The 11970-nt window shown below is 40.0% G+C and overlaps 1 long non-coding RNA gene across 1 annotated transcript; it reads right to left on the reverse strand.

Annotated features, from left to right (window-relative positions):
* Window positions 1–1855: 1855 nt before the first annotated feature.
* On the reverse strand, window positions 1856–8440 carry LOC285422 (uncharacterized). The gene is made up of 3 exons (XR_939280.2): window positions 8300–8440; window positions 6491–6694; window positions 1856–2144 (listed from the first exon to the last, which is right to left on the reverse strand). It is a non-coding gene; the product is annotated as an uncharacterized LOC285422 (long non-coding RNA).
* Between the last annotated feature and the right edge of the window lie 3530 nt (window positions 8441–11970).

An 11970-nucleotide genomic window follows, 5' to 3' on the forward strand; every position in this document is an offset into this window, starting at 1 on the left:
CTACAAAGTACGTAAACAAATTTACAAGAAAAAAACAACCCCATCAAAAAGTGGGCAAAGGATATCAACAGACACTTCTCAAAAGAAGACATTTATGCAGCCAACAGACACAGGAAAAAATGCTCATCATCACTGGTCATCAGAGAAATGCAAATCAAAACCACAATGAGATACCATCTCATGCCAGTTAGAATGGCGATCATTAGAAAGTGGGGAAACAACAGATGCTGGAGAGGATGTGGAGAAATAGGAACACTTTTACACTGCTGATGGGAGTGTAAATTAGTTCAACCATTGTGGAAGACAGTGTGGTGATTCCTCAAGGATCTAGAGCTAGAAATACTATTTGACCCAGCAATCCCATTACTGGGTATATACCCAAAGGATTATAAATCATGCTACTATAAAGACACATGTACATGTGTGTTTACTGCAGCACTATTCACAATAGCAAAGACTTGGAACCAACCCAAATGTCCATCAATGATAGACTGGATTAAGAAAATGTAGCACATGCACACCATGGAATAGTATGCAGCCATAAAAAAGGATGAGTTCATGTCCTTTGCAGGGACATGGATGAAGCTGGAAACCATCATTCTCAGCAAACTATCACAAGGACAGAAAACCAAACACTGCATGTTCTCACTCATAGGTGGGAATTGAACAATGAGAACACCTGGACACAGGGCAGGGAACATCACACAATGGGGCCTGTGGTGGGGTGGAGGGCTGGGGGAGGGATAGCATTAGGAGAAATACCTAATGTATTTCTAATGACCAGTTGATGGGTGCAGCAAACCAACATGGCACATGTATACCTATGTAACAAACCTGCACTTTGTGCACACGTACCCTAGAACTTAAAGTATAAAGAAAAAAAAATTTAGATTAAAAAAAAGAAAAAAAAGCAGTGCTCGGTATGAATATAGCTGATGTTAATAAAATAGACCCTGCCAATTTTCCCCTAATGCTTCCAACAGGAATCTCATCCATAGATTCCTGACTTGAAGATAATGATGTGACTATTTTGCAAGTTTTATCCTATTTGCTAATAATTTTACTCTCAGGGTACTTCCAAATGTAAATTTTCATTTATACCATTCCCTACCCCACCTTTAATTTACAGACTAGTCAGCTGCTTTTTAGGGCATCCCTTACCCTTGTCATTCCCAATATTAAAATAATTTATTTATTCTTGGTTCCATCCACAGTTATACTACCTTGAATTATTTCTACATCTGATCTCAGACCCATGACTCCCATCCTCGGCCTCAGAGCACTGCTAACCTCAAAAGATTCTAGCTGTTCTTCAGTTCTTACTGTCACCCACATCCCACGGTTGCTGCTGAAATCACATGCTAGTCATCCTTTCACCCCACCAGGAATTCACAGTCAGTATGTGGCTTCACCGTGACTTTGGACATTCTTTTTCTGTAGAGTTCCACATCCCATAGGCTTCTTTAGTCCTTCGCAGGCAAGGATTTATTTTGGTAGTGTAATTTTGTCTCCTTTGGTCAGGACATCAAAGTCTCCTCTTCTACTTCTGGAAGTGTATGATTCATAACTAGGTGAACTGGCAGCCACTTTGCCCTGGGTGTCTGCCTAAGTACACAGCAGATTCTACCCTTTCCAGTCAGCATATATTAACTCACTTGTACCTAGTAAAATCCATTAACTCATGTCCCTACTAATTTTCCTACCCACCCTCCAACACTTGCCTAAATATATTTAGAATCTTAAATTGGCATAGGTCCTTTTGAGAGGGAGGAGACAAGATAAGCCAAACTAACATTTATAGGATATGTAATTCTACATAAACACAAGGCATTAAACGTAACACCACTAAAACATTTCTTTGAAGCCAGTCCCCATATGGCAGTAAAATGTTTTAAAGTTCAAACTAGTAAGATTACAATATCAATGAGTTTTGATCTTGATGTATCCTTAAAATGGGTGGAGGGTTTTCTGTGTGTATTCCAGGATCCGGCTTCTAATTTTCAGGAGATGAGGGGGAGGATGAAGTAAGGGAAAGAGAAAAGGATTTGAGTCAGAGAGACCTGCGTCCAAATCCTGGCTCCTGTACTCTCTTCTGGGGTGATCTCTGGCCAGTTCTCCAGATCCTTTGAGGTGGGATTTTCTCTCTGTAAAATGGAAGATATACTCTTCAGGGATGCTGGGAGGATTGGGATCAATTAAATGCTGCTTATCGTACCTGTCACCTAAGTTGATGCCTAATAAACAGTAATTGCTGTTTTATGTTTTGTTAAGCTGGCAGGGTAATTTAGTTTCTAACTTACATATGTCTATTTGAAAATGCACTGTAACCACTTCAAATTAAAGATTAAAATTGTATGGTATGAGAGTTATACCTCAATAAGGCTGTTAATTTTTTTTAATTTAGAAAATTGAATCTATCAAGTTCCCTTAGAAAATGTGAAAGTAATTTTTAAACTGAAAAATTTCACAGCCTGTTCTGTGGGTGACCAATAAATACTGATTAATGGACTTTATCTGTAATTTTTCATGAGACCGTAAGTCCAAGACCTCCCTTATGTAGCCTGCTCTTAATCCAAACATTAATTACTACTTTGGTATCATAAGATTATTATGATATCCATACTCTATGCATTGGGAAATAATTTGAAATTCATGAAGAAGTCCATCCTCATGCTTTGATAAATGAGTATAATTAGTTCCAAAATTTCTGTTCATAAGCCAAAACTGGTGTCATCAATCATTGAGTATTCCCATTAAAATTAATGTTAAAAACCTCAGTCTTTCTCTTAATGGAGTAATTAATAGAAGAGTGTGCCTCATTTAGTAGTGTTGAAGGTCCCCGAGGCTCTGTCCTGGCTGCCTTTCTCTCCTCCATCCACCCACCCTCCCAAGGTGACCTCACGTCTCCAATCCCGTGGTTTTGGATGCCTTCTGTGTACCATTGACTCCCAGATGTGTCTCCAGCCAGAGCATCTCACAGGAACTCATATATCTAACTTGACATCTCCACATGGCTGTCATCTCAAACTTGGGAGTGGCATGGGGATCATGAGTTCAGTGTGGGCCATGTTAAATTTAAAAACATTAAGAAGACAAAAGCCATGGATTTCTTCTAGGTTCCATAAAGGTATGTATCATTCTCTCCGTTGCTAAAGCCAAAAATCTTTTCTCATCTCACATCAACACCATCAGTAAAACCTGTTGCCTCCACCCTGAAAACATCCTTAATCTATGAATTTCTTTCCATCTCTGCTCCTTGCCTGCTGCCTTGCCTGAGGCTAGTTATCTGTTGCCAAAGTCTCCCTGCCACCACTCTTGCCCCTGCTACCATCACTTCTCACACGACATCCAGAGCACTCTGAAAAATGCAAATCAGTTTATGTTACTTCCCAGAATAAAATCTTCCAGTGGATTCCCATAGTACTTTGAATAAATCCAAACTCCTTCCAGTGGTTCAGTGGTTCTCATTCCTGAGGAGTGCTTGGAATTTCATGGGAGCAATTTTTATTGTTGAAATGATTGGAAAGGGGGGCTGCAACTGGCATTTAGCAGGCAGGGTCAGGAATGCTAGATATCCCACTATAGTGAGAAGGTCCTTCATTTTGCCTGCCAATCATTATCTGAGCCTGGATCATTATGCAATATTATATATTAAATACAAAGTACTTACATGGAATTTTCCAGGAATGCAATGACTGTGTCAATGTAGAAAAGGATGTACTTCGTTTTGTTTCAAAATTTGTCTAGAAATGTTTACTATTTCAGAAAATCACCTCACCCTTAGAGGAGCTACTGGCTGTATCTGAGCCACTATTGCAACATTCCTGCACATGCACAGCGATTCCACCTAAACGGGCAATCATTTGATGGCTTCTCATTCTTTCTAGTGAAGACATGCCTGAGTATTGACATGTGGCAATACGAAGCACTTTATTATAAATTTCTTTATGAAATTACTCCTTTAACAATAACTAATGGTTGATTGACAATACCAGTCCAGGATTATGAGCAAAAATTTTGGACTAGTTATACTCATCCATTGAGGGATGAGTGCATTTCTGTATGAAGCCACAGATTATTTCCCAATGCATAGAGTATGGTTGTCATAACAATCTTAAGGCAAAATCAACAGAAATGAATGCAAACCACAAGGGAGCAGTCTAAATCTTTGCGCAAGCTATTTATTCCCTCTTCCTACAGTGCTCCTCCCGACAGTTTGCATGGATGGCTCCTTCATGAGTATCACCCTGAGGCACTCTCCATCCCATCACCTACTTGAATTCTCTTTGGCACTTGTCACCTGATAAAGGACCTTTTTTGTCTTACACAACAGTGTGTCCACTGTGCCTTGAACATTGCCTGGAATATAGTAGGGGCCCAGTGCATATTTGTGGAATGAAAGAATGAATAAGATGAGGCAATGTAGTGAGCATCCTCTTGGTAATATATAAATAGCATTCCTAATTCTATAAGATAGAAAACTGTCAAGTTTTGCCCAGTGAAATAAAGTGTTTAAAGTGTTAAAACATTTGAGCCAACCTATAGCATCTGTGGTACCCAGGCCACCATTTCAGAGGTGGCAAATTAAGGCTAACTGAAGCTGACATTCACAATATATTTGCAAGCTCTTTTATACCAATTAGTTAAAACATATTTGTGGGCACAAATGTGAGGTATAAAAGCTTATGTGATATCTTATCAAGACTGGGGATAAAAACCAACCAATCATAGTGGATGGATATGAGGTCAGATTCCTCCCAGCAAACCCTGGTTACCAATTAGCACAAAAAGGCTTGTCAGCATCAAAAATTGAAGTATAAGCATAGTGCTCAGGCAAGTGGATATTTTCCTCAAGGGGATCTACAAAGAGATGTGAGTAAAGTGTGTTAACCTGCTCCAGCCTCCCCATCTCCAGTCCATCCTTCACACCATCTTTCCAAAATGCCAATTGTATCACTCTACTGTGGTGAAAATCCTTCAGTAAGGTCTTGTCCCTCTATATGTCATGTGCAATGAGATTTTAAAAATGCCATTTACTTGCAAAATGTGTAGGGACCCTTTATAGTCCTCCCATCCTCCTAGCATGACCGCACACATGGCTAAGCTCTAGCCACACCTCACCCAGGCTGTACTAACAACCGCTGGCTCTTACACAGCCGAGAGGTTCTTCTCCTGCTGCCTGGAAAATTCTAACTCATCCTTTAAAAAATGTTTGAGGCCTCCCTGATGCCTGTCTCAGGCAGTGGTGGGTGCTCTCCGTTTCACATGCACCATTCCAAGCAATAAACAGTCCTTGTGTAATTTTCTAATCATATTCTCCCACTCTGCTAGCTGCTGTTTGAATCCAGGGCCATATCTCATTTATCTTAGGATTCCCAGTGCTACTCCAGGGCTCAGAATATGATAAGCACTCAATAAATGTTTGTTTGAATGAAAAAGTGGACTCACCTGAAGCTATATAAACTCTTTGTGCAGGAGTAGACAGACCTCTCAGAAAAGGCTATTATAAATATGATTTTTGGCTGGGCACAGTGGCTCATTCCTGTAATCCCAGCACTTTGGGAGGCTGATGCAGGTGGATCACTTGAGGTTAGGAGTTTGATACCAGCCTGGCCAACATGGTGAAATCCCATCTCTACTAAAAATACAAAAATTAGCCAGGAATGTTGGCACACACCTGTAATCCCAGCTACTTGGGAGGCTGAGGCACGAGAATTGCTTGAACCCAGGAGGCGGTGAATGCAGTGAGCCGAAATTGCACCACTGCACTCCAGCCTGGGAGACAGAGCGAGACTCCACCTCAGAAAATATATATATGATTTCCATTTTTTTAGGGTTGAACATGACTCAATTTGTCTGCAAGGAAGGCTCACTCAGTCTGAATGTGAGATCTGAACTTTCCTTCCTTGGGATTCTTAGATTCTATCTCTTTAGAATACAGTTCAGCAAAAACAGGAGATACATGAATTCAGGTGAATATTTACATGCATTAAATTCAACAAGATTTTTGTTTGTTTTTTTGGAGACAAGGTCTTTCTATGTTGCCCAGGCTGGTCTCAAACTTCTGCCTCAAGTGATCCTCCTGCATTGGCCTCACAAAAGTGTGAGCCACCACTCCCGGTCCTTAAACTTGATAAGATTTTACCAAGGATATTTTCAACCTTAACACTATCATGGAGTTCTCAAAAGAGTGAAAGATGTGGCCCAGCCTCGGTCACAGTTAAACCGAGGAGGCCCAGTATACAGGCATAGGAGAGAGAACAAGGGACCAGAGAGATGATGCAGCTCTACAATCCCTTGATGGTCCCTGGGAGGCATTAATGGCCAGAAAATGAGACCCTGAAATTGCATGTAAAATATTCTGTGTATATATCAAGGTGTCTTTTCCCTAAAAGGGTGGGGGTGGATAGGCCCATAGCTTTCATTAAATTCCCAAAGCCATCTGTGACGATAAAACATTAAGATCTGGCCCAATATCCACTCCTCCCACCTCTATGGAGGAAACTGAGGCCTGAGCAATTAGGTGATTTCTCCCAGGCCTCACGGCACTTTAGTGTCACATCTGTGTCTAGATCCCAATGTCCAGGGATCTTTCCACTTCTTGGCCACGTCGTTGTCCCACCAAAGAAGCCTGAAGGCTCTGGCAGTTCTGTTGGAAAGGCTTCTGAAATTGATGGCAGTGTTTCCATTTGTCCTAAGTTAAATATAATATCAAAGGGTAGCACTTTAAAATTAGGGGTAAATACTAGGCTTATTATATTTGATCTCCGTTTGACACCAGATTATATAACTATACTATGATACCTATATCTCCCTGGCTCTCTACAATTTGAAGATGCTTTTAAATTCCTTTTACATTTGTACCAGGTCAGAATGCAAATTTTATAATAAAATTACTGAGTTGCGTTTGAGCTTTTAAAATGGTAGTTTCATAGGCTCTTTCTAAAATAGTGATGATTTGCTTTATTTATACACGAGCTAAGCTATTTAACTCTTTAAAAGGAACTATGCATTTCAATATTTGGTTTTCTCTGTAGGAAATGACAGTCAGAAGTTCCCCAGGGAAATTCCTGTTTCAATTCCATTTTTATGCTTTTGGAAAGAAAAACATCATTGCTTTTTGATTTAGAATAGCAAAAAGAGGTTATGTGTTTCTGTTTATCATGGAATATGCCCCCCTTTTAGAGTTACAGCCTTGATGCAATTGCTGATGTATCAATGAAAACAGCCTATCGTCCTGTAACCATTTTATTTGCTGTAACCATTTTCTTGGCTTTTAAATACAGTGTTTCTCCGTATCTGAGGCATATAGCAGAAGGATTGGTTTCAGGACACCTTCAGATATCAAAATCCCCAGATGTTCAAGTCCCTTATATAAAATGGATAGTATTTGTGTATAACCTATGCACATCCTCCTATGTACTTTAAATCATCTCTAGATTAATTATATACCTACTACAATGTAAATGCTATGTAAATAGTTGTTATGCTGTATTTTTTAATTTATAAAATAAATGTACTACATTGTTTTCTTATTTGTAAGATTTTAAAGAAGAGGTTCAACTATATACAGTTCAGAGGTTCAACTACAATACTAAAGGAGAACAGGAAGTTCTTCCCAGGTTGCACACTGCCTACAGTGATTCTGCTTAAAGTATGGCATTATTGCAGAACTAATCTCACTCAGAGTGCTCAAATGCGGTAAGGGAAGGTGAAAAAGCTTCCAGTTGCAGAAGAGCTAATTGACATATGCTACTATCACTATGAAACATCTAACCTTGGGGAGTGGTGGGGAGGAGCTAGTGGGGAGAAGGGAGGATGGAACCAGTCCTCCCTCCATGGGAATTCTTAGAAGAAAAGGAAAAAAAAAAAAAAAGATAGTCTGGAGGGGAAACGATCAGAAGGAAAGTCTAGGAGCATTATGCAAATATAGTAAAGCATTAGCATTATGTACACAGGAGGGGCAAATGCATGTAAATTGCAAACACAGAGGAAAACTAGTGGAGCAGGAGGGGTGATCTTCGAGGAGGCTTCACAGCCCAGGCCAGGGGCAAAGGAAGACAAGAAAGGAGGGAAAAATGAAGAGGGGTAAGGAATGACAACAAGAACAAAAAAAAGAAAAAGGAGAAGAAGGAGAAGGGGATGGGGAGAAGGGGAAGTAGGGAAGCAGGAGTAGGGAGTGGAGGAGGAGGAGAAGGAAGGAAAACACTGGGAGAATGCAGTTGTTATCTGTACCTCCCTATTTCCCCAAGGTACCCACCTCAATTTCCCAGCCTTCCCCCAACCTCCAATTGCTGACCTGCTTGTTCCTAAGCTCCTTTTGAAAGCTGATTTTTCCGGCTTCTGATCATTCATTCAGGTAGCAAGCATTTCTTCAGCAAATGTTTATTGAGAATGGCTCTGGCAAGAGTGAAGATTTCATCTAGCCTTGGAGCAGGGCTGCCAGGAAATTGCAATGAGGAAATAAAACCTAGGACATTTCCAACAACAGCCTCAATCCCCAGCAGTGGGTGGTTACACTCAAATAGAATTGGGGTCACTGGCAAAATGGTCCTTTTTCCCGGGTTCCCTTACACAGCAGTCAAGTTGATGCTCCATTTGCACTGACTGTGGGTGAAGTGGGCAAGAGGTAGGCGCCTGAGATGTCAGGCAGTGGGAAATACGCCCTCTGACATTAATTAGGGATTGGTTGTTATGTTACTATCTTATTATACTGTACTTGTTCTCTAGTATTCTGCCCCAGTCTCCTGGCCAGCCTAAAGAATGAGGGATAGAAAGGCTGATTAGAAGCTCTGAATATGGGCAAAGGGACTTTCTGACCATCAAGTTTCCCTTCACAGCCATTGTTAGGGGATCCCTAAGGCCAAAATTATCAGGGTTTTGCTCTAGGGTTCTAAGCTCCGTGGTGGCTGCCCTAGTTCTTCCCAGAGAGTTTGTTGGGGAAGAATCTTTGTCTTGGAGTAATTGCTGGGTTGTCACAGTTCTGCAAGCAATTCTGATGGAATTGGGAGGGAGGTGGGAGAATTGTACTCTATATTAATCCTTCTGTTCTCTGCCTCACTTCTCATTTCTGTGCTGTGATATGTCATTTCCAGTCTCCTTACCACAGCTGCAGCCCTCACTGCCTATTTTCTAGGTGGCTCCTGCCTCCTGTCTGCTTCATGGCCAACACTCGCCATTCTCTTCACACATTTCAGAAATGTGTTGAGCTCTCTTATCAGTGGAAGTGTCCCTTGCCATTTTATTATTATTATTATTATTATTGCTGGAAAATTCTTTTTTTCATTTTAAATTACTATAATATTAATAGACTCTCAAGGGGAGCTGTAGATCAGCATGTGTGCTTTGGTCTGCCATCTTGAGTACAGTCTTCTGTGGAAATTTGATACACCAGAAATTGGTTCAGGATATGGGCAAAGGAAAATCATTAGAAAAACAACTTGAGGCAAATGGGGCTTCACTGTGCCCTGAAGAACAGGAAACACAGCCACAGACAAAAATAAATAAGATTCCTATTGGCAGATATAGAAAAATTATTAATAGTCTTTAGCAGACCAGTCGGAAGCACCCCAGTGCTGCCATGCATCATCACAGCCACAAGCCATAGGACAGTTTGCCCATGTCCTCAACATGGAAAAAAATGTTAACCTTGTAAAGTCACCAACACAAATGATCAACATCCATTAAACAAATAGTTCATTAAGCATCTATTTCATGCCAGATACTATGCCAAGTGCTTGAGATATAATGGTGAACAAAATCACACATATTTCTTGGCTTCATAGAGTTTACAATCTTATGATTATATAATTAATATGGTTTCACTCTGTCCCCACTCAGATCTCACCTTGAATTCCCACGTGTTGTGGGAGGGACATGGTGGGAGGTAATTGAATTGTGGGGGAGGGTCTTCCTTGTGCTGTTCTTGTGATGGTGAATAAATCTCACAAAATCTGGTGGTTTGATCAGCACAAGCTCCCTCTTTGCCTGCTGCCATCCATGTAAGATGTGACTTGCTCCTCCTTGCCTTCTGCTATAATCATGAGGCTTCCCCAGCCACGTGGAACTGTAAGTCCAAAAAGCCTCTTTCTTTTGTAAATTGCCTAGTCTCAGGTATGTCTTTATCAGCAGCATGAAAACAGACTAATACAATAATTAAATGTAAAATTACATCTGGGGTTACTGCTTTGCTGAAACAATACATACATCTGTAAGAGTGAATAAGGGGTAGCTGACCAAGTCTGAAGGATAGGTGAAGGTTTTCAGGAGGATCTGACTTATGAGGAGCACAATTTTCAATAAGGGCCATTGTGCATTTTATAAATATGTATGTATACTGTTATTACACAGATAGGTTTAATCGTGAAAGATAGTTAAATCCAGCCTAGGCATCAGGAGACCTGGGAGACATTTTAGTTTCAGATTTGTCAACAGATGACTATATGACCCTGGGCAACTCAACTCAGCTTCCTTGGGACGGATTTTTTCATCTGTAAAATGAAGACATCAGATGAAATAATCTGTTAAGTGATGAGTAAGACACAGAAATATATTGTGTTTTCACATAAAATGACCTCATATCTTTGTATATTTCTGTTTGCACTTAAAATGACATCATATTGACAAATATACATTGGTCTTGTTTCTGGGAGATGTGTTGGCTAAAGAACAGAGTTTCAAGAAACAATTATTTTTGAGCATTAATTAAGTATTCTTTTGGGATTTTTGCTCCTGGACTCATTTTAAATTGTGAAAGTTTCTAAAATGTTAATTTGCAATAGTGTTAACTGTTGCTTTTAAAATATCCTTCATGAAACTGGGTGGAAGTTTGTGTGTATGTATGTGTGTATGTGTGTGTGTGTGTGTGTGTGTTTTGTATTTATTGGCAATAAAAGCCTCCTTGAGGAAACACAAGATTATTTTCTTGTCTATAAAAATGTCCCTAGAAATGATAACATATCTTAGGTTGCCTGAGTGATTTGGCAGATTGAAAGAGGAACTTATATGTGGTCAGTACCCCAAAATGATTTTTAGAATTAGGCTAGCTCTGCTTCTTGAAGCATGTTATCTTTAATCCCTTGTTTATCAGTTTGTGCTTATTCTTGCGCTTGATTGAAAATGTTTATAGTTTGGAAACACTATCTCAAAGTGAATTAAATGCTCGTGTATTTTTAAAATAAAATTACACTTCCATCTTTTAATTTATTTTTGAATTATCGTTGATTATGCTCATAGTTTTAATTCCTAATTTGGAGTAAACTCTCTACCTTCAGGAGCTTCAAGTCATTGATCCACTTGGTCCTCAAGTCTAGGTGAGTTCATTATTTCATCAGAGGGGCCGTCCCTCTCCCCTGGACAAAGAGTTGGTACTCAGGTGTGGTTTAGCTAAATTCACAGAAAACCTGACTCCACTATGATTTCTTTGGGTGGTATTGAGGCAGAAAATAAAGGTAAGATATGACTAACAGTTGAGAGAGAAATCTCATCTGGATCACTGAAAAAGGCTAAAGAAGAAATGTCTGTCTTTCACCAATATTCTTTCCTCCCTGAGAAACAGTGTTTCCACCAGCAGAGTGTAATTGTCCATCTCTATTGATCTCCAAGAGCTTTTGAAATATGAACATAATTACAAATAGAGTTTTGGGTGGCACAAGGAAATACTTAGCATCATCTTTGGGAAAGTGGTGGTGCTCTCTACAGATTTTTTTTTTAATGTTCATTGCAGCTTTATTTCTTTTTTTATATATGTACTTCAAGTTCTAGGGTACATGTGCACAACATGCAGGTTTCCTACATATGTATACATGTGCCATGTTGGTGTGCTGCACTCGTTAACTCGTCATTTACATTAGGTATATCCCCTAATGCTATCCCTCCCCCCTTGCCCCACACCACTACAGGCCCCAGTGTGTGATGTTCCCCACCCCGTGTCCAAGTGTTCTCATTGTTCAATTCCCACTATGAGTGAGA

Source organism: Homo sapiens, chromosome 4, assembly GCF_000001405.40.
Source record: "Homo sapiens chromosome 4, GRCh38.p14 Primary Assembly".
In the NCBI taxonomy this organism is placed as follows: Eukaryota; Metazoa; Chordata; class Mammalia; order Primates; family Hominidae; genus Homo; species Homo sapiens.